The sequence below is a fragment of the Homo sapiens genome, chromosome 3 (assembly GCF_000001405.40).
Source record: "Homo sapiens chromosome 3, GRCh38.p14 Primary Assembly".
Taxonomy (NCBI): domain Eukaryota; kingdom Metazoa; phylum Chordata; class Mammalia; order Primates; family Hominidae; genus Homo; species Homo sapiens.
In genome coordinates, this window is record NC_000003.12 from 183,677,240 (window position 1) to 183,699,574 (window position 22,335).

Below are 22,335 nucleotides of genomic sequence, written 5' to 3' on the forward strand. Positions count from 1 at the left end.
TAACTAGAGGTTCAATAGTGGGAACTAGCTTGTACCTGAAAACTAAGGTTTTTGTTTGTTTTTATTATATTCAGAACTTGAAGAATTTATAGAAAGCGCTTATTGTGCTTTAAATGAAAAATATTAGAGTTTGTTCCATAATTGGTGCAATTCATGGGGGTGTGGTATTCTGAATTAAAGTGTCTTTCACTATATGATAATAGGCTAAGTCATTCTGGGTGTCTATAAATTCTAATATAGGCATTTTTAAGTACTCACAAATTCTTTCAGACCTAAAGATAGTATCCTTCTATTATATAAAGCCACCAAGATTTAATTTCTTCTATAAGAGCAAAATTTATATAAAGCAAATTTGGTCAAGTAAAAATGCTTATTGAACTCATTGGTAGAAACTATTTCATTGTTGGTTATGTGGAACCAGGATAATAAGGTGCAATAACTCTCTGAATTAAAGTGAAACTTTAATTGGAAATGGAAGAATATCTGGCCTGCAGTATAACCAGATGCATGTAATAGTGAATCAGTTGTTAATGTAGGGTTTTTTGTTTGTTTGTTTGTTTATTTTTTTTGAGACGGAGTTTCGCTCTTATCACCCAGACTGGAGTGCAGTGGCACAACCTCAGCTCCCTGCAACCTCCGCCTCCCGGGTTCAAGCAATTCTCCTGCCTCAGCCTCCCGAGTAGTAGGGATTACAAGCACCCCCCACCACGTCCAGCTAATTTTTTGTATTTTTAGTAGAGATGGTGTTTCACTGTGTTGACCAGACTGGTCTCGAACTCTTGATCTCAAGTGATCCACCTGCCTCGGCCTCCCAAAGTGCTGGGATTACAGGCATGAGCCACCATGCCCAGCCAGGTTTTGTTTTTGAAGAATCACTCTCATCCTTGCAAGAATATTTGTTTTATATAGTAACTGTGTTATTGACAGAGAATAATAAAATTTAGCTTAGAATCCCATTGTGTGGGAAGTTAACTGTAAGATGTTATTTGAGACATTTCTATGGCCCAGCCAAGGCTCCTAATAACAGTGTTTTGTTAACTTAGTTATAAATTTTTTCCTCATTCATTCATTCAATTTTTGGGTAATCCCATATAATGAATATTGTTCCTACTCCTTGGTCATGTAACCGCCACTTTCTATAATAACCTTCCTGTAATAGGAGAAGCAAGCCAGGCTCTTTAAAGATGCTTTTGCTTAACTACCATTAAGTTAAAACCCTTTTATCAGTCCACATCCTACCTCCCACATCTTGGCCCCAATTACTAACATATAATCTTTTTTTTTTTTAACTTTTATTTTAAGTTCAGGGGCACAAGTGCAGGTTTGTTACATAGGTACACTGTGTCATGGGGGTTTGTTGTACAGATTGTTTCATCATTCAGTTCTTAAGCCCTAGTACCCATTAATTTTCCTGATCCTCTTCCTCCCCCAACTCTGCACCTTCTGAAAGGCCCGTGTGTGTGTTGTTCCCCTCTATGTGTCCCTGTGTTGTCATCATTTGGCTCCCACTTATAAGTGAGAACATGCAGTATTTGGTTTTCTGTTCCTGTGTAAGTTTGCTAAGGGTAATGGCCTCCAGCTCCATCCACGTCCCTACAAAGGACATGATCTCGTTATTTCTTGTGGCTGCTACTGACATAGCATCTATCTTGAAATTCATTTCATTCATGCAAAGTTGTCCAGCGCTTACACAGAACACAGAGAGCAGAGTTGGGCCAAAGGACCTTAGCTTTTATCATGTCTCCCTTTTTTTTGACTGTGCTAAAGCATTATTTTGCTTTTCTGTTTGTTACCAAATCCTTTATCTTCAATGGTTAATTTTTTGTTTATATATTTGGTTAAACAGGAAAACTGTGGTATGTCTGTGTGTAATGGTAAAATATATATCCTGGGCGGAAGACGGGAAAATGGAGAAGCCACAGACACTATTCTCTGTTATGATCCTGCAACAAGTATCATCACAGGGGTAGCTGCAATGCCCAGGCCAGTGTCCTATCATGGCTGTGTGACTATTCATAGATACAATGAGAAATGCTTTAAACTCTGAAGACAGGATACCTCACCGAAGAAGCCACACTGATCCAAGATGGGAGGTTTTAAAAACTCTACAGTGGGAACTTCACATATCTCCTTTGTGCCATATGCAAAAAATAGTAAAAATAATAATTTGGTGCCTTTCTCCTCAAAATATCAATCTTTCAAACTATAATAAAGCCTTTCCTATAATTGAAAAAAAAAACTTTTTTGTTAAAGGTAATGGTGGTTGTTACTTGGCCTTTGAAGAGTGTACCTTTGTAAGTATTTGTAAGAAGTCTATGTGAATTAGGAAATGTCTGTCTGCATACCTTTTAGGAGCGTGTGAATGGTGTCTTCACTTATTATGTATGTTTATCTGTATGTATATTCCTTATTTTGTCATATATGTAGAGAAAATTGCATGACTTGAGGCATCATTTAGGTTGAAGAAGTTAATGCTTAGGATGCATTCTAGGAGAAAAAATCAGTTTTAAAAACCTTTGTTGTTAACAAAGTATATCCAGATTGGTTAATTTTATTGAAGGGTTTTTTTCTGTAATTGATAAAAATGTAATGACAACAATTCAGGCATCATAAAATACTGAACTATTGTGACTTTATTCTTAGAATTGCTGTCTTACATTAAACATGTTTTTAGGGGGAAGTTAGGTAGGAGATAGAAAAATAAGTGCCCCTACAAGGGGGATTAAAATTACAAGTTAATTCCTAAGAGAAAAATGGAATGGCCTTTGAAGGAAAAATGACCCACTATGGCTCTCAAAGTTTTTATGCATCATCTCTTCAATCCTCTAAGAAAGCCTCTTTTCTTAACTTGATAAAGCAGTGGAAACCCATTTTGCAATATTGTTTTGTGAAAAACAGGGACAGACAGCCAGGTACAGAGACTCACACCTGTACTCCCAACTACTCAGCAGGCTGGGGCAGGAGGATTGCTTGAGCCCAGGAGTCTGAGGCTACAGTGAGCTATGAACGCACACGGCACCCTAGCCTGGGCAACAGGTTGCGACACTGTCTCAAGAGAAAAGAAAAAGAAAAATAGGGATAGGTTTTCCTTCCTAGCCCAGTAGAGTTTGACCTCATTAGTATGGTGCTTTGGGTGAGGACCTCTTCCTTGATTATCCCACTTTCTAGTGAACAGCTAAAATTCCTGAGAGTCTCTACTGTTAAGGTACCTTTAATAGGATAAAGCAGGGACCACCTATCTCAGTGGGTCCATTTTTCTTTTAAAATTAGTTATCTGAAAAAACTTAGCAGTAGTTCCCATCTTTAAGGTAAGTCTTTCATTTGGTCCCCATTGTGTAAAATACTAATCAACATTTTCAAGCTTCTGTACAACAGACTGCTTTTGTCTAGATTTCTCAACTCCACTTTATAAAGCTTATCAGTTTTCAGAGAGGAATGTGAATTTTTTTTCTAATGCAAATAAATGGATATGGCAGGAACTACAGCATAAGTGATTATTGTGATTCTGGGTGGACGGATATAATTTACAACATTTAGGGATGTTCTAGGTAGCCTGCTGTAGTTTGACTTCCAGTCACTGTTGTCTTTCACATTATAATTTGTATATTTCTTGTGATAGAAGGGATGATGCAAATATGTAATTAAAGTGTCACCAGATTTCTGTTAAAACCAAGGTTGAAATAAAAAGCCTAACATTGGTAAGCTACATTGTTTTCTCATTTTAGAATGATTCAGAGATTTCAGATAGACATTTTTTAAACTTTAATGCTTAGCTAGAATCTACATTCTGAGGAAAACTCTAAAAAACTTAAAAATTTTTAGGGAATTTTTATTTTTCAAATCATAATTTTAAAATGATAGATACCATTTTGTGATAACAACAATTCAGAAAACAATTTTCTATCCTCTTAGTTGAAAGAATGTAGGTACAGTTTGGATACTTGTACTTTAATTTTAGAGTAAACATCTGCATTATACTCTTATAGATAATAGAATTATTTAGTTAAGAAATTCTTTACAGTAAATGAGATAATGTGTGAAAAAGTATTTTGTAAATGCTGAGGATTCTACAAATGATAGTTGTTATTTTCATGTGTATTTGTAAGATCATGTCCATTTCATGAATATAGGACTTCACATAAAAAAAGACTTTCTCAAGACAACTTTATATTCTAGTATTTTTCTGTTGTAAAAAGTATTAACTATTTACTTTTATTTTGTTATACATTTATTTTAATATCCATGTGTTTATTATAGTAAATTTGAAATGAAATCCTGAAAAACAGAATTTTTTTAAACACAGACCTCACACCAATATTAATTTTTTCTCTACATAATTTAAAACTACATAAATTAAGTACTTAAAATTTATATTGAAGGCCACCAAGAACTTAGGTTGAATCTTAGAAAATTTAAATAACTATTTTTAAAGTTACCCAACTTAATATTTTAATTTTTTAATATTTATCTTCCTTTACTAATTCTTGATAAATAATAGCATTAGACTTGATAAAATAAAAAAGAATTTTAGAGTAGAATTAATATATCAAAAGGGGTATATCAACCAAATTGGTGTCAGATTGTATTCATTCTCTCATCACATAAAGATTTTTCTTTTGATAGGTGATGCTCATATGAACCTTTGGTTTAGAATCTATATATGTACATGTGTATGTATGTAGATAGTATGGTTGTATACACACATATATACCAAACACCATGAATTTTAGCAGTCTGTGATGATCAGCAAAAAAGCACATAAAGTAAAAATTAGTTGACCATGCTAAATTCAATTCTGGAATTTTTTTTTATTTGGGCATTTCTAGAACTTTTTACATTTGAAAGTACATGATGAGTATTAGTAACGATGACTTATGTATAATCAGAATCTTTATGACAATTTAGTTTTACAAGGTCAGAAGAGATGAGTTTGCTAAACCCAGCTGTGATACCTCAGTTGGAAAGGGAATTCAAAGGTATGCTTTGTAGAACAGAAAAGTATAGTTTTTTTTTCATGAACTTTAATCATTTTCTGTTTTTCCTCTATGTGAGTCAGCTACAAAAGTGGTCTAATTTTTACAACAGTAGAACTTCCTCCTTTTCTACTGTAATCTTCCCACTGACTTTACTGCACAGGTATGAAATACTAGTGTATTGGATCTTCAGTAACCTTTTTATTTCCTAGATGATTGAAATATAGGTATTTACTCCATTTAAACCAGGTGATAAGATGATGTAAATACTCAGGGAGGGTATTAACTTGTTACTTTTGCTCGTTTGGGGTGTAAAGTGCCATGACTGAATAATCTTCAATTCATGATTCTAGAGTAAGTTTAATTTGGAAAAAGGGGCTTCACACATGGTGGTGGTTGAACATTGATTCTTTTATACTTAAAAAGATGAAAATGTTTTGTGGACTGATACATTTTATCTTACTGAATATGAATTGTTTATGTATCTCTACTGTCAAATAGCCTTTTTGAAACTCAGGAAAGACAAAGGTTCAATTACACCACTTTTGTCAATAAGCAAACCAGGTATTTTTTTTTTCTCCTGTTGTCTGGATATGGCAATAGATTTTTTAAATTGCTGTGAGAACCCATATATGAAAAGAGAGGAGTTGAATTGTGTGTGCCTTTTATGTCTTGAGATTTATATGTGGAAAAGACGACATCTACTTCAAACTGTATTTTTTTCGTTTTTTTTTTTTTTTGGGGAAGGGGGGAGAACGGGGTCTTGCTCTGTCGCCCAGGCTGGAGTGCAGTGGCGCGATCTCAGCTGACTGCAACCTCCACCTCCCGGGTTCAAGGGATTCTGCCTCAGCCTCCCGAGTAGCTGAGACCACAGGTGCGTGCCACCACACCCGGCTAATTTTTTTGTATTTTTAGTAGAGACGGGGTTTAGTAGAGACGGATCACTCCTGACCACGTGATCCGCCCACCTCGGCCTCCCAAAGTGCTGGGATTACAGGCGTGAGCCACCACCCCCGGCCTGTATTTTCAGAGAGGAGAGCTTGGTGTTTTTGTGGTGCCAAGTGGTAAGATAATGTCTCTTTGAGGCTTCCTATGGACTGCCTTTATTTTAGTAAACTCAAGACACCAGTTAACCTCAACAGAGTTTTGGCCTTATTAGAATTTGTTGTGCATCTTATTGAAAGCCAGGTTTACATCACCTCACCCCATTATTCTTTTTAGTTAAATAAATTTACCATGCCAAGTAACCAGAATGGAGCAAATTGGTTGATCTTTAAGGCAGTAGGTTTGACTAGCTAGCTATCATTATTGTCACATCTAATGCTAGGCACCAGAAACCATTTGAGCCAGGAGTGTGAATGAATAATTCCAGAGACACTTTAGACATTTTTTAATGTTTTATATGAACATTTTACATTTGTGTGATTGCCTTAGATATTAAATTTTCCTAGTGCTGATAAAAACAGCAACATTCATAACTTATTTTATATATTGTTCCAAAGAAAAGAATTTGTTTTAATGGTTTCAAAATAACTGCACCTGAATTTGTTTATGTGCCTTAAGTTCTCTAGTGCTATTTCAACTTTTTTTTCAATCTAAATGAAGCTTACCTTAGATAAGGTTCATATTTGTTTCCTATAGAGTAAATAAACTTCCCCTTCTTAAATTGTGTAATAAGCACCAACGTGTGGTTGCTTGGCAGAATGAGAATGTTAAGGGAGATTGTTGGATGTTTGGAGTTTCATTATATTTTTTGTTTTTATTTTTTGATACCTAGGTGCTTTTTAAAATATTCAGACAAATATCTATCTTACATTGATTAAACCCGTGTAAATTCATTTGCAGTATCTACATCGAATGTCAAAAAAGTATACTTATTTTTGTTCCATACTTATGTACAATTTTTTCCCTCTTCAGGCTTTTTCATTTACCTTTTTGAAAAAGCACTTACTCTCCCCTTCCCTATCACCCCTCCCCCAAGGTTTCTTTATTTAAATTTTTATTGAGAGTTGTTGGAGCTCTAAGACAATACAAATTTAGAGTTGAACAAAAGTATAATCTGCTTTACAACTAGTATAGACCTAAGGTCATTTGCTTTCAATTAGAGGCTCCAGAGTCTTCATAGTGGAAAGAATGCTTTGTATTTAATTGTTCTTAGTTAAGTTGTAGCACGTGAATACTTACTTACATGTTTTGTTTAAATATACTTCTTGCATAGTTTAATTTTTTAAAAGTTGTATCTAATAAAATGTCTTTTAACCATTATTACTTGACTATATGGTTGTATTAAATTTTGTTTACGAAAAATTTGTTGTTCTGTTTTATTTTAAGTATATTTAAGGGGTTGTGCAAAAAAGAGATGGGGAAAATACTGGATATATTAATATATGTGTGTATTTACTGGTATGTCCATAAAATAACTGGAAGGATAAATAAGAAACTGAAAATATTAGTGTGTAAGAGGAAAGGAAATGGTGGCTGAAGGACAAGTAAAAATGAAACTTTACTGCATACGTATATGTGTGTAATTATAAATACATATAAAATCAATTTTTTAGTCTGAAACACACGAAAGTATTCCCTATTCAAAAAAAAAAATTTTTTTTTTCTTTTTTTGAGACGGAGTCTCACTCTGTCACCCAGGCTGGAGAGCAGTGGTGCAGTCTTGGCTTACTGCAACCTCTGCCTCCTGGGTTCAAGCGATTCTCGTGCTTCAGCCTCCTGAGTACCTGGGACTACAGGTGCATGCCACCACGCCCGGCTAATTTTTCTTTTTATATTTTTAGTAGAGACAGGGTTTCACCGTGTTAGCCAGGATGGTCTCGCTCTCCTGACCTCGTGATCCTCCCGCCTCAGCCTCCCAAAGTGCTGGGATTACAGGTGTGAGCCACTGCACCCAGCCTCTTCTATTATACTTTAAATTTTCTGTTTAAAAAAAAATGACCTGGCTGGGCACAGTGGCTCACGCCTGTATTCCCAGCACTTTGGGAGGCCAAGGCGGGAGGATCACGAGGTCAAGGGATTGAGAACATCCTGGCCAACATGGTGAAACCCCATCTCTACTAAAAATACAAAAATTAGCTAGGCATGGTGGTGTGTGCCTGCAGTCCCAGCTACTTGGGGAGGCTGAGGCAGGAGAATCGCTTGAACCCAGGAGGCGGAGGTTGCAGTGAGCCAAGATCGAGCCACTGCACTCCAGCCTGGGCGACAGAGCGAGACTCCGTCTCAAAAAAAAAAAATAAATAAAATAACCTGCTGTCTTAATGGAATGTGGAGGGAAATGGACTATACCTGCCTTCTGCTTCTCTGCTATTTATTAACTGATAATGGAGACAGAAGGGATAGTTTCCTCCTAATTATGTTAGGATATATTTTTTTTTTTCGAGACAGGATCTCACTGTGTCACCCAGATTGAACTGCAGTGGCACAATCATGGCTCATGGCAGCCTCAATTTCCTGGACTCAGGTGATTCTCCTACCTTAGCATCCCTAGTAGCTATAGGACTACAGATTCATGCCACCACGCCTAGCTAATTTTTAAATTTTTTGTAGATACAGGGGGTCTTGCTGTGTTGCCCAGGCTGCTCTCAAACTCCTGACTTCAAGTGATCCTTCTGCCTTGGCCTCCCAAAGTGCTGGGATTACAGGCATGAGCCACAATGCCCAGCTCACATAAATCTCCTATACAAAATATAGATATCAACATTGTACAAGGAGTATAAATTAAGAGTCAGAAAAATCATATGAGCCTTCCCAGCTATCAGATTATCATATCAATCAATATTAAGATTTTTTCCTTTAAAACAGACTGCCTGCATTTTGGGTCACAAAAACTCAGACTCATTCAATATACAAACTCTGGCTACCCAAATACTCTACATGGTCTTATCTATAGCAAATAGAATACAAAGCAGCAAGGAAAATTCCCTGATAGTTTCTTCTCTTTTTGTTTTTGTTTTTGTTTTTTTTATAATGAGAACAGTTCTTTAGGCACATTTATGATGTAGGGTCCAAGGGAAAACAAAAGGGAGATTAATAGGAGAAAAGGCATACACGTTTATTAATGTGCACAGGGAAGAATCACAACATAATTACCCCACTATGCAATGGGGTAGAGAATGTCATATACCCTTCTTGGGGGAAAGGGAGATAGGAAGTGTGGGTGATTTCAGGGAGGTAGTAAATGATTTTTTTTTTTTTTTGGGACGGAGTCTCTTTCTGTCACCCAGGCTGGAGTGCAGTGGCACGATCTTGGCTCACTGCAACCTCAGCCTCCTGGGTTCAAGCGATTCTTCTGTCTCAGCCTCCCAAGTAGCTGGGATTACAGGCATGCACCACCATGCCTGGCTAATTTTTGTAGAGATAGGGTTTTAGTAGAGATGGGGTTTCACCATATTTGCCAGGCTGGTCTCGAACTCCTGACCTCGTGATCCACCTGCCTTGGCCTCCCAAAGTGCTGGGATTACAGGTGTGAGCAGTAAATGATTTTTAAGGGAATTCAATGGGTCTGTAGAACTTTGAATGGCCTGGGACAAAAGTCTGTTGGGCCTGCCGAGTAGACAATGGTTTGTGACAAAAGTCTGTTCAGTGCGTTAACAGACTTCAGTCTTTCTTCCTGCAATATGAGTTCACTTAACGAAAACTCGGGGAAGGGACGAGCAGTAATTGTTTTCATCTTTGGTGGGTCGAGACTTTAGGTAGATAAGGGAACTTCGGAGAACAACTTCATCTTGTGCTTTGGGAGAGACAAAGGATTGAGAGACAGAGACCTTGAGGCTTCTTCTTCAGTTCAGCATGTCAAAGTGCCATATTTTGGCACTTTGAGCCCCAACAATGACTGTTCTGACATTATCTGCTGCTCAATTGGGGAACACCAAATCTAGATGAGTTTATTCTGAACATATGAATAAAGCAGAGAAGGAGGAACATAATGGTCATACAAAAAAGGATTTTGGAGATGTCTGTAGATATAAAAGTCATCATACATGAAGTGTATCTCCCTGCCAAAGTCAAGTTATGGAAGAGTGTTCTTCCCAACCAAAATCCCTTGTTTGCTGGCATTGGAGGAATGTGAGATATGATTATGCAGCAACATCCCACAAATCTGCCATTGGGTGGCCAATTGTGAAGATAGAGTAAGACTTCTAGGAACAGGGGCAACAGAATTGTACTCTGGGCAGTAATGAATTCATGAAACCTGATAAATGCAACATTATTTGTTTTGGACACACTCAAGTCTAGGCCACGAAACTCTTCTCATATTGGGAATCAGGGCTATTTACAGTCAGGACTATATCCCTTGACTGGGGAATTTATGGCCTATCTAGGCCATAAAATAAGAAAAGATTATGATGAAAGTTATCATAGGGTAACACAAGTAAATACCACCAAGGATATTAAAACTTCTGCCAACAAACAAACTCAGCAATAGTGTCAGTATCTTTCACAAAACAGAGCTGAAGTCCAATCTAAAATAATTGACATGGTTTTGTTGTGTCCCCACCCAAATCTCATCTTGAATTGTAACTCCCACAATTTCCATGTGTCGTGGGAGGAACCTGGTGGGAGGTAATTGAATTATGGGGGCGGGTCTTTCCCATGTTGGTCTCATGAGAATGAATAAGTCTCATGAGATCTGATAGTTTTAAAAAACGGGAGTTTCCCTGCACAAGCTCTCTTGTCTCCCGCTATGTGAGACATGCCTTTTACCTTGCGGCATGATTGTAAGGCCTCCCCAGCCACGTGGAACTGTAAGTCTAATAAACTTTCTTTTGTAAATTACCCAGTCTCAGGTATGTCTTTATTAGCAGTGTGAAAACTAATACTAATACAATACTAATACAATAATAAATGAATATATCTCAGTATTATATTAACTGGACACTTAAAAACTGATTAAAGATGTAAATAATTGTAACCAAATTAAAATCAGAAGTCTTCAGTCTTTAAAGACTTGACCCAAATGTTTAAGTAAAGCCATTTTTGTACACTCCCTGTTTTTACATCATCCATATTCCACCAGAACCAACTCATAAGAGACATGCTATTACAGCTAAAATTTCCTATTTTACCTTACATTTAGAAGTAATTTTCAGACATTTTTTTAGTCCACGTCCACAGGCTTCTTTTTTTATTTGTTTTTGAGACAGAGTTTAGCTCTTATTGCCCAGGCTAGAGTGCAATGGCACGATCTTGGCTTACTGCAGCCTCCACATCCCCGGTTCAAGCGATTCTCCTGCCTCAGCCTGCCGAGTAGCTGGGATTACAGGCATGTGCCACCACACCCAGCTTGTTTTGTATTTTTAGTAGAGATGGGGTTTCTCCATGTTGGTCAGGCTGGTCTCGAACTCCCAACCTCAGGTGACCTGCCTGCCTCGGCCTCCCAAAGTGCTGGGATTACAGCCATGAGCCAAAGAGCCCAGACTTCTTTCTTTCTTTCTTTCTTGTTTTTGAGACGGAATCTTGCTCTGTCGCCCAGGCTGGAGTGCAGTGGTGCAATCTCGGCTCACTGCAAGCTCCGCCTCCCGGGTTCACGCCATTCTCCTGCCTCAGCCTCCCAAGTAGCTGGGACTACAGGCGCCCCCCCCACCACACCCAGCTAATTTTTTTGTATTTTCAGTAGAGACAGGATTTCACCGTGTTAGCCAGGATGGTCTCGATCTGCTGACCTCCTGATCTGCCTGCCTTGGCCTCCCAAAGTGCTGGGATTACATGCGTGAGCCACCGTGCCTGGCTGGCATTCTTTTTTTTTTTTTAACAACTCCATTGAGATACAACTTTTTGCTATGAACATTTGTGTACAAACTTTGTGTGGACATATGCTTTCATTTCTCTTGGATATTTACATAGGCATGAAACTGCTGAGTCACATGGTAACTACATGCTTAACATTTTGAGAAACTGCCAAGCTGTTTGCCAAAGTGGCTGTACCCTTTTATATTCCTATCAGCAATAAATGACATTCTTGACATCTAGCGGCTCTATTTTTATGTAAAACAAATGCAGAGAAACCAACTAGTTCTAGCTATAGAAAGATTCCTTCTGGGATAAATATCCATTTTTTTAAAAATAAATAATAACATGCCCTGCCCCCAGTGTTTGTATTCTGTGGATACTGCACAATCCACATGGAGGATGTCTTAGTCCATTTGGGCTTCTACAACCAAAAACCCTAGACTGAGTGGCTTATAAACAACAGAAATTTCTCACAGTTTTGGAGGCTGGGAAGTCCAATATCAAGGCACCAGCAGATTCAGTGTCTGGTGAGGGCCCTTCTCCTAATTCACAGACAGCCATTTTCTTGCTGTGTCCGCACCTGGCAGAAGGGGTAAGGGGGTACTCTGGGACCTTTTAAATAAGGGCATTAGGCCAGCCATGGTAGCTTATGCCTGTAATCCCAGCACTTTGGGAAGCTGAGGTAGGAGGATCACTTGAAGCCAGGAGTTTGAGACCAGCCTGGGTAACATAGTGAGACCTTGCCTCTACCAAAAAATTTTTAAAAATTAGTTGGGCGTGGTGGTGCACACTTGTGGTCCCAGCTACTTGGGAGGCTGAGGGGGAGGATCGCTTGAGTCCAGGAGGTCGAGGTTGCAGTGAGCCATGATTGCACCACTGCATGCCAGCCTGGGCAACAAAGCAAGACCCTACAGTAAAAAAAATTAAGGCAGGCTGAGTGTGGTGGCTCACCCCTGTAATTCCAGCACTTTGGGAGGCTGAGGTGGGCGGATCACCTGAGGTTGGGAGTTCGAGACCAGCCTGACCAACATGGAGAAACCCCATCTCTACCAAAAAACACACAATTAGCCAGGCATGGTGGCGCATGCCTGTAATCCCAGCTACTCAGGAGGCTGAGGCAGGAGAATTGCTTGAACCCGGAAGGCAGAGGTTGCGTTGAGCCGAGGTCACACCACTGCACTCCAGCCTGGGCAACAAGAGGGAAACTCTGTCTCAAAAAAAAAAAAAAAATTAAAGCTGGGCAAAGTGGCTCATGCCTGTAACCCCAGCACTTTGGGAGGCCAAGGCAGACAGATCACCTAAGGTCCTAAGGTCAGGAGTTCGAGACCAACCTGGCCAACATGGTGAAACCCTATCTCTACTAAAAATACAAAAAAAATCAGCCAAGCATGGTGCCGCGTGTCTGTAATCCCAGCTACTTGGGAGGCTGAGGCAGGAGAATCACTTGAACTCAGGAGGTGGAGGTTGCAGTGAGCCGAGATTGTGCCACTGCACTCCAGCCTGAGCGACAGAGTGAGACTCCATCTCAAATAAATAAAAAAAAATTTTTTTTAATTTAAAAGGGTGGCCAGGCACAGTGCCTCACGCCTGTAATCCTAGCACTTTGGGATGCCGAAGCGGACGGATCACCTGAGGTCAGGAGCTGGAGACCGGCCCGGCCAACATGGTGAAGCCCCGTCTCTACTAAAAATACAGAAATTAGCCGGAAATCACTTGAGCCCGGGAGATGGAGGTTGCAGTCAGCTGAGATCATGCCACTGCACTCCAGCCTAGGCAACAGAGTGAGACTCTGTCTCAAAAAAAACAAAACAAAACAAAACAAAAAATTTAGAAAGGGCACTCCACCCTGAAGAACTTAATCACCACCCAGAGGCCCCACCTGCAAATACTGTCACATTGGGGATTAGGTTTCAACATAGGAATTTTGGAGGGCACAAACATTCAGTATATAGCATAGGAGAAGCACATTGCTTGGCTCTTTTGGGTTATGATAGGGTCCATCTACAAGGGTGGGATATGGTTTTGCCAAAATCTTAATAGGCCAACTAGACATTTGGTTTCTCATTTGGGCCTAGTTGGGCACAATCATTTATTTTTAACAGCCTGATTGTAATTCCTAGGCACTAACTTTTAACAGTTTTTTTTTGAGATGGAGTCTCGCTGTGTTGCCCAGGTTCGAGTGCAATGGCATAATCTCAGCTCACTGCAACCTCCGCCTCCCGGGTTCAAGCGATTCTCCTGCCTCAGCCTCCTGAGTAGCTGGGATTGTAGGGCGCCCACCACAATGCCCGGCTAATTTTTGTATTTTTAGTAGAGACAGGGTTGCACCCTTTTGGCCAGGCTGGTCTCAAACTCCTGACCTCGTGATCTGCCCACCTCAGCCCCCAAAGTGTTGGGATTACAGGCGTGAGCCACCAAGCCCAGACAACAGTTTTATTGGGGGTATTAAGAAGTGGAGTTCTCATTTTACAAGTCTAATTAGTATCTGCATTCAGGTGGGGGTATTTCAGCACCTTAAGCGTCCCCGGGGGTCCCATTCCTGTTAAACTTAGAAAGGGACGTTGGTCTTCCCAGGAAGGAGGCTGGGATACTGGGTACTTCTGGGTCAGAGTCTAGCAACAATTTTCCAACTGAGCCAGCCTCCCCCTCCCACTGTCAGGCAGAGCTTTGGATCCACCATCCTTCTCAAGCTTTCCTAGTTCCTCTGATGCCCTCTTCCCCCCACGTTGAGCCCCTCAATCTGTTGGGCAGCAGCTCCCAGCAGGAGGACTCTCAGCCACCGGACTTCTTTTCCAGGGTCAGCGTCAGCATTCCTGGAACCTTCTGTACTAAATTTAATAACAGTTAACTTTTCCACTGGATGCGGTGGCTCAAGCCTGTAATCCTAGCACTTTGGGAGGCCGAGGCGGACAGATCACCTGAGGTTAGGAGTTTGGGACCAGCCTGACCAACATGTTGAAACCCCGTCTCTACGAAAAAGACAAAAATTAGCAGGGCATGGTGATGCACGCCTGTAATCCCAGCACTTTGGGAGGCCGAGGCGGGCGGATCACAAGGTCAGGAGATTGAGACCATCCTGGCTAACACGGTGAAACCCCGTCTCTACTAAAAACTGCAAAAAATTAGCCGGGCGTGGTGGCGGGCGCCTGTAGTCCCAGCTACTGAGGAGGCTGAGGCAGGAGAATGGCGTGAACCCGGGAGGCGGAGCTCGCAGTGAGCCGAGATCGCACCACTGCACTCCAGCCTGGGCGACAGAGCGAAGACTCCATCTCAAAAAAAAAAAAAAAAAAAAAAAAAAAAAAAAAAAAAAAGAGAGAGATAGGGTCTCTCGTTATATTGCCCAGGGTGGCCTGGAACTCCTGGGCTCAAGCGATCTTCCTGCCCTAGCCTCCGGAGTAACTGGGACTACATGCACACACCACCACTCCCAGCTGTATCTTAATTGAATATTTTTCATTTTCTACTTGTCATGGGTATAGAGACATAATTCTCTGGTATCAGAAAATAGCAGTGTGAGTGAAACAAACTCACGCTCAGACTGGGATGGAGGAAGGTGTTAGGAAAACACTAGGGCTTGGTATGGGACCTTTGCCCTGAAGGTAATGGGGCTTCTCTAAGTAGGACTGCAGCTTTCCAGCTGCTTCCTGGTATGGCCGCTAAACTCTCAGGCCCTGGGGGCAGACTGCCTGGGTCTACAACCCAGCTCCACTCTTAGCTGTCTGACACAGCTAAATTACTCAACCTTTTCATGCTTCATTTTTCTCTTATTTAAAATAGGAATGATGGCCGGGCGCGGAGGCTCACGCCTGTAATCTCAGCACTTTGGGAGGCCGAGGCCGAGGCAGGCGGATCACGAGGTCAAGAGATTGAGACCATCCTGGCCAACATGGTGAAACCCCGTCTCTATTAAAAATATATTTTAAAAATTAGCTGGGCGTGGTGGCGCGCGCCTGTAGTCCCAGCTACTCGGGAGGCTGAGGCAGAAGAATCGCTTGAACCCAGGAGGCGGAGGTTGCAGTGAGCCGAGATCACACCATTGCACTCCAGCCTGGGCGACAGAGCGAGACACCATCTCAAAAAATAAATAAATAAAATAAAATAAAGTAGGAATGATAATAATAAAGTTGTTACAAAGATTAAATTTGTGAAGTGCTTGGAGCACTGCCTGGTAAGTAGTGTTATTAATAGCTAATATCCAATTATAACAATGTATGGGCTGGGAGCGGTGGCTCACGCCTGTAATCTCAGCACTTTGGGAGGCCGAGGTGGGCGGATCACCTGAGGTCAGGAGTTCAAGACCAGCCTGGCCAACATGGTGAAACCCCTTCTCTATTAAAAATACAAAAATTAGCCGGATGTGGTGGCATGCGCCTGTAATCCCAGCTACTCGAGAGGCTGAAGCAGGAGAATTGCTTGAACCTGGGAGACAGAGGTTGCGGTGAGCCGAGATCGTGCCACTGCACTCCAGCCTGGGTTACAGAGCAAGACTTCATCCCCCCAAAAATAACAATAAAATAAAAAATAACAACGTATGGCCAGGTTACCACAGTTTCTGATTTTCCATAGAAGCAGAAATTCAGGGTATTATGTGAAATTTGTCAGTGTTTGAAATGTTGGCTCATTTAAAACAAAATGTGACATCTGTAGGCTGTGACTACGCAATCTCTCTGAACTGTACTCTTTCATGGCAACCTCACCAGTGTTCATTAACTACCTGTTGACAACAGTACGTTGACAGTGCCACCCATCAGGTCTCTTCTGAGCCCCAAAGCCTTATGTACAGATTTAATATCTTCAGGGCTAGGTGTGGTGGCTCATGCCTGTAATCCCAGCACTTTGGGAGGCCAAGGCAGGTGGATCACCTGAGGTCAGGAGTTCGAGACCAGCCTGGCCAACATGGTAAAACCCCGTCTCTACTAAAAATATGAAAATTAGCCGGGTGTGGTAATACACGCCTGTAATCCCAGATACTTGGGAGGCTGAGGCATGAGAATCGCTAGAGCCCGGGAGGCAGAGGTGGCAGTGAGCCAAGATCGCACCACTGCACTCCAGCCTCGGCAACAGAGCGAGACTCTGTCTCAAAAAAAAAAAAAAAAAAAAAAAGTATTCGAGTGGATGCCTCAAACTTAAAATGCCCCAAAGGGAATTCTTGATTCTCCCACCCCCAACATTCAAATCTGTTCTTCCTTTAGTCTCCCTCCTTTCAGGAAATGACACCATCATCCACCATCAGCCACTGCTGGAAACGTATGAGCCAACCCCAGTTCTCCCTCCAGGCCCACCTCCAGTGGCTGTGCAGGTGAGTGCTGCCTAAGGGAGCCTGGCTAGCCAGGAGCCTAAAACCAGCCTCTAAACACTTGCCAAGCTCCAGAGCAGAGCTGAGTCTGCCTGGAGGAAGGGGCAGTTTATCTAAGAGGCCATTTTGACTTAGCAGAGGCCAGTCCCCTTCCCTTCTCTCCCCAGTCTCCTCCCAGTTCATCGTCATCAAGTCTTCTGGTATTTTCTCCATAGTTCTTGTATCTATCTCCTTCCCACCATCTCCACTGCCAGGGTAAGCCATCCTCATTTTTTTTTTTTTTTTGAGATGGAGTTTCCCTTTTATTGCCCAGACTGGAGTGCAATGGCACGATCTTGGCTCACTGCAACCTCTGCCTCCTGGGCTCAAGCGATTCTCCTGTCTCAGTCTCCCGAGTAACTGGGATTACAAGCCACCACGACCAGCTAATTTTTTTGTATTTTTAGTAGAAACGGGATTTCACCATATTGGTCAAGCTGGTCTTGAATTCTTGACCTCAGGTGATCTGCCCATCTCCGTCTCCCAAAGTGCTGGGATTACAGGTGTGAGCCACCACGACCAGTGCCACCCTCAATTTTTGCTTGGATGACTGAAATTGCTTTCCAACTGTCTCACTGCTTCTATGTTCACACACCTCTTCAGTCATTCCCCACCTACTCATTGGGGCAAATGATTTTTTTTTTTTTTGAGACGGAGTCTCACTCTGTCACCTAGGCTGGAGAGCAGTGGCATGATCTCGGCTCACTGCAACCTCCACCTCCCAGGTTCAAGCCTCCAGAGTAGCTGGGATTACAGACATGTGTCACCACGCCCAGCTAATTTTTGCATTTTTTTTTTTTTAGTAGAGATGGGGTTTCACCATGTTGGCCAGGCTGGTTTCGAACTCCCGACCTCAGGTGATCCACCCACCTTGGCCTCCCAAAATGCTGGGATTACAGGCGCGAGCCACCGCGCCCAGCTGCAAGTGATGTTTTTAAAAGGGCAAATAGGCTGGGTGTGGTGTCTCACGCCTGTAATCCCAGCACTTTGGGAGGCTGAGGCGGGCAGATTACGAGATGAGGAGATCGAGACCATTCTGGCTAACGCAGTGAAACCCCGTCTCTACTAAAAATACAGAAAATTAGCCGGGCATGGTGGCACGCGCCTGTAGTCCCAGCTACTCGGGAGGGTGAGGCAGGAGAATCACTTAAACCCAGGAGGCGGAGGTTGCAGTGAGCCAAGATCATACCACTGCACTCCAGCCTGGGCAATAGAGCAAGACTCAGTCTCAAAAGAAAAAAAAAAAGTTTCATTTTGGTGAATATTTGGGTAAACAGTTCAAAGTTGTAGTCTTATCAGAACTTTACCCTTCTTCCCCTTGACTTCCCAAGGCGGCCTACAGGATACAGGGGAAGCCTCAAGGCAGCGGTGGGAGGGGAGATCTGTGTGCGGGATTTCAAGCTATAGCCTGGGTTCTCACTGGCCTCTGCTGCTATGTCTCTGGTGACTTCTGGTCTCCACTGCCCTGCAGGCATCAGCTGCTGAGGTGGTTGGTTGGCAAGCTCATGACCTGTTGCTTTAGCACCTTCAGAGTTTGATGTCTCATCTTTCATCCCCACTCCTCCATCCCCGCTCCTCTCACCAGCTGACTTAGGGGTGCTTCAGCTCCACTGGTATCTTCAGTACTGCCTATCCTTGGGGTCTTAGCTACGTTCTGTAGCCATTCCCTGGCCATCAGCCCACCACAAGGCCTCTGCTTTAGGAAACCTGCCCCCTGGCACAGTGCCTATTGGTCTGTCCATGGCTCTTAACCATGCTACTTTCTGCATGCCAGGCAGGGAGCAACAAGAGAAGTCTGGAATTCTGACATACCTAAATGTGCAAGCTGCAGCGCTCCAGCAGCACTATTGCAGACTCCTCCCAACGCCATGGCCTGCTCCCAAGCCCTACTGTGTGAGCCTTCTCACAGACTTGGACAGCCTTCCAAGCTACACCAAGGGAAGTCAGCTTCTAGCTTTCTTGGCACTTATCTGGGTATTTCTATGCTTTCCACCTCACTGTTAAACCCTAAGAGTAGGGGAACACCAACACACTCATCCTGACCTGTGACCTCACCCCCTTCTCCATGAAATTTGTTTATCTCCCCAGTTCCTATTATCTCTTGAGTCTTAGCTTAAGGTTCAAGGAAGCCTTTCTTAGTTTTTTTTTTTTTTGAGATGGAGTTTCACTTTTGTTGCCCATGTTGGAGTGCAATGGCTCACTGCAACCTCCACCTCCCGAGTTCAAGTGACTGTCCTGCCTCAGCTTCCCAAGTAGTTAGGATTACAGGCATGCCCAAATACACCTGGCTAATTTTTGTATTTTTAGTAGAGACGGGGTTTCACCATGTTGGCCAGGTTGGTCTTGAACTCCTGACCTCAGGTGATCCGCCCGCCTCAGCCTCCCAAAGTGCTGGGATTACAGGCATGAGCCACCGTGCCCAGCCAGGAGGATCTCTCGAGCCCGGAAGTGTGAGACTAGCTGTGGTGATAGTGAGACCTGTCTAAAAAAACCAAAATTAGCCTGGGGGTGGTGGTTCACGCCTGTAATCCCAGCACTTTGGGAGGCTGAGGCGGGTGGATCACCTAAGGTCAGGAGTTCGAGAGCAGCCTGGCCAACATGGTGAAACCCTGTCTCTACTAAAAATACAAAAATCAGCCAGGCGTGGTGGCGCGCGCCTTGTAATCCCAGCTACTTGGGAGGCTGAGGCAGGAGAATCGCTTGAACCCGGGAGGCGGAGGCTGCAGTGAGCCAAGATCATGCCACTGCACTCCAGCCTGGCAACAGAGGGAGACTCTATCTCAAAAAAAAAAAAAAACACAAAAAACAAAACACCACTTATATTTATTATGCGTTGATAAAAACATTAAATACATTAAAAATTTGGTAACATGTATGTAAAGTATAAAAAAAAAAGTGAACTTCCTAAACCCACCACTCAGCTCCAGTAGTAAATCGTTATACAGTGAGAAGGGATTGAAGGGGAACAGAAGTTCCCCAAGACCAGTTGGGAGGCTATTCATAGTCTTGGGCAGAGAGATTACAGGGTCTTGGGTAGGGTGGTAGAGTTACAACGAAAGAGAATGTTGGCCTCAAGTGATATTTAGGTGGAAAACTGGACTTGGATTGTCACTAGCTAGTGTGACTGAGATAAGTCTCAAGCCTTCCCTGCCTCAGTTTCTTCATCTGTAAAATGGGCTAGAAATAACTACTGTTATTTTGTATACCCAGCACTTAGCACATGGGTTGGCACAAAGATGGCACACACAAACATCATAGTCACTATTGTGATTAATAGGGAAGCTCATACACGCCGGCAGAATGAATATTCTGTCAAACTTGGGGTTGAAATTCGCCATCTTCTGGGGCAGGAAAGTGATGGACGACTGTGCCTTTGCAAGAATCGACGCCCACACTGCCCAGGAAGTGCCCTCGCGGGCCGGGGTCCCAGCCCGGACCAGCCCCGCCCCGCCCCGCCCCGCCCTCATCCCTGGGAGCTCCGCCCCGAGGCCGCGCGCGCCGCCGCGCGCGCCCCGACGCGCCCAGCTGCTGACGTGCGGGGCGGAACGCGCCGGGCGGGCTCCACCGCGCCGTGTGCTTCCGCAGGTTGCGGGGGTCGCTGGGGCCTTGTGGCGGGGCAGCTCCGCGGGGCTTCGCCCGCTCTCTCACCTCGCCGTGCTCTCTCGCGGCGGCCGGCGGGGCCCGCGCTGCAGCCGGAGACCCGGAGAAAGGGTGAGTGTTGGCGGGCGCAGGAAGGGACCGGCCGGGAGCGCGCCCCGCTCTCCGGGGCATTGTTTGGGCGGGGGCGGCGCGGGCACGTGCGCGCCCCTCCCCCATCGGCAGGCAGCGCGGCAGCGGGACCCGGTGAGGCCCCGGGGCCGAGGGGAGGGCAGGGAGGATCCCAGGTGCGGGCCGGGGAGCCGCAGAAGCGGGAGCCTGGAATTGGAACGTGAGTTGGGGGCTTCCTCTTCAGCGGGGCGCTGCGCTGAGGGGATACGGGACCCCGAGCCACAGCGGCCGGAGCTTTTAGGATGTTAAGCTCTTGGCCTTGGAGGCAAGATTTGGCCCCAGCACCAGAAAGTCGTGGGTTTACCGAAAGGATCCTGGAATGCCCCTCCAACCTGTCGCCATCCCCACCGGGCCTCCCTGGGATGGAGGGGAGGGGTCAGAGAGGCTTTGGGGGTCCAGGGATGGGGCCGGGGCCAACGCGCCGGAGCTGCGGGCAGTGCGGGGCGGAGTGGAAGCCTCGGAAAGTGAGGACTCCTGCAGGAAAGGCTGGCTTGAAGGGCTGTGGCCAGACTGCAGAAGACAATGAGGTTTTCTCCATCATGAATGTGATTATGTTAAGAAATAGAAACCAGAGGAAGAGAAATGCCATCAGCAATCTTACAGGCCTGACACATCATTTTTTTTTAGTTTGATGTTGGCTAGTATTTTCATCTAAGCATTCAGCAGTTACAGAGTTGACCCACGTTTTCCATTCCCTTTTCTCGCTCACATGTAAAAAATGCGGTATAATATTATATAGAATTCAGCAATATCATTTCCCCTTTCTTAATGAGTAGAGGGTATTCAGCGTAGAAAAATTTAAAAATACAAGCAAAGCCAGAGAAAAATGCCCGCAGTTTTACGATCTAGAGATACTACCCTTGGATGTATATTCCTGTTTGTGTATACTCTTTAAAAGATAGGGCAGATGATGCCCTGATAAGGAGTTTAGTTTTTCCCGGGAAGCCTTTGAAGGTTTTGAGAAGGCGAGTAGCATGATCCGACTGCTATGTAGAGGAAGAGGGCTGGGGAGGAACCTACGAGGTCAGTTACTGTGCTCTTTGCAGTAGCTTGGACTAGGCCCGTGGCAGGGAGATGGGGAAGTATAAACAGATTTTTAAATGTTTTAAGGTAGAATGAACAAGACTTGGATTGGTGAGGGAATGGTGGGAATCTTTGCTTTTTTGATTTTTGTTTTGAGCAACTGAGTAGGTGGTGGTGCTGTTTACTGAGATGAAGAATGGAAGAGAGAAATTTGAGGTGGGAAAAACGAATTCTATTTTAGATGTATTAAATTTTAGATGCATGTTAGTTATGAAGTCGGTGTGTTGAGGCAGTTGGATGTAGAGGGCTGGAACTCAAGGAGGAGAGAGGCTAGAGCTAGAGATAAAAATCTGGGAGTGGCTGGGCGCGGTGCTCACACCTGAAATCCCAGCACTTTGAGAGACCGAGGCGGGTCGCTTGAGCCCAGATATTCTAGACCAGCCTTGGCTACAAGGCAGGAAGGACCCCGTCTCTTAAAAAAAAAAAAAATTGGGAGTGATC

General features: G+C 43.5%; 2 protein-coding genes across 44 annotated transcripts in view, besides 1 other annotated feature; both read left to right on the forward strand.

The window, feature by feature from the left end:
* Positions 1-7,280, forward strand: part of KLHL24 (kelch like family member 24) — a 48,897-nt gene extending 41,617 nt beyond the window's left edge. For all 27 annotated transcript variants that reach the window (NR_146170.1, NR_146169.1, XM_047448371.1 and 24 more), the window contains one exon: positions 1,847-7,280. Coding sequence is in view for 25 of the 27 variants with exons in the window: in XM_047448371.1 (XP_047304327.1) it covers positions 1,847-2,047 (201 nt within the window). In the remaining 2 variants the exon portion in view is untranslated. The remainder of the gene's footprint in view (positions 1-1,846) is intronic.
* Positions 20,463-20,932: a silencer, noted in NCBI's record as "silent region_14947". NCBI's record gives its function as "represses an Ori minimal core promoter by ATAC-STARR-seq in GM12878 lymphoblastoid cells {active_cell/tissue: GM12878}" and the evidence as "EXISTENCE:reporter gene assay evidence [ECO:0000049][PMID:35858748]".
* YEATS2 (YEATS domain containing 2) overlaps positions 20,558-22,335 on the forward strand; it is a 114,828-nt gene continuing 113,050 nt past the window's right edge. For 11 of the 17 annotated variants that reach the window (XM_047448527.1, XM_047448528.1, NM_001351370.2 and 8 more), the window contains exon 1: positions 20,558-20,754. The gene's annotated coding sequence lies outside the window, so the exon portion shown is untranslated. Of the gene's footprint in view, positions 20,755-20,838; positions 20,972-22,335 lie in introns of those variants that run through there. The other 6 variants (XM_005247598.6, XM_017006810.2, XM_047448530.1 and 3 more) reach the window with 1 other exon arrangement.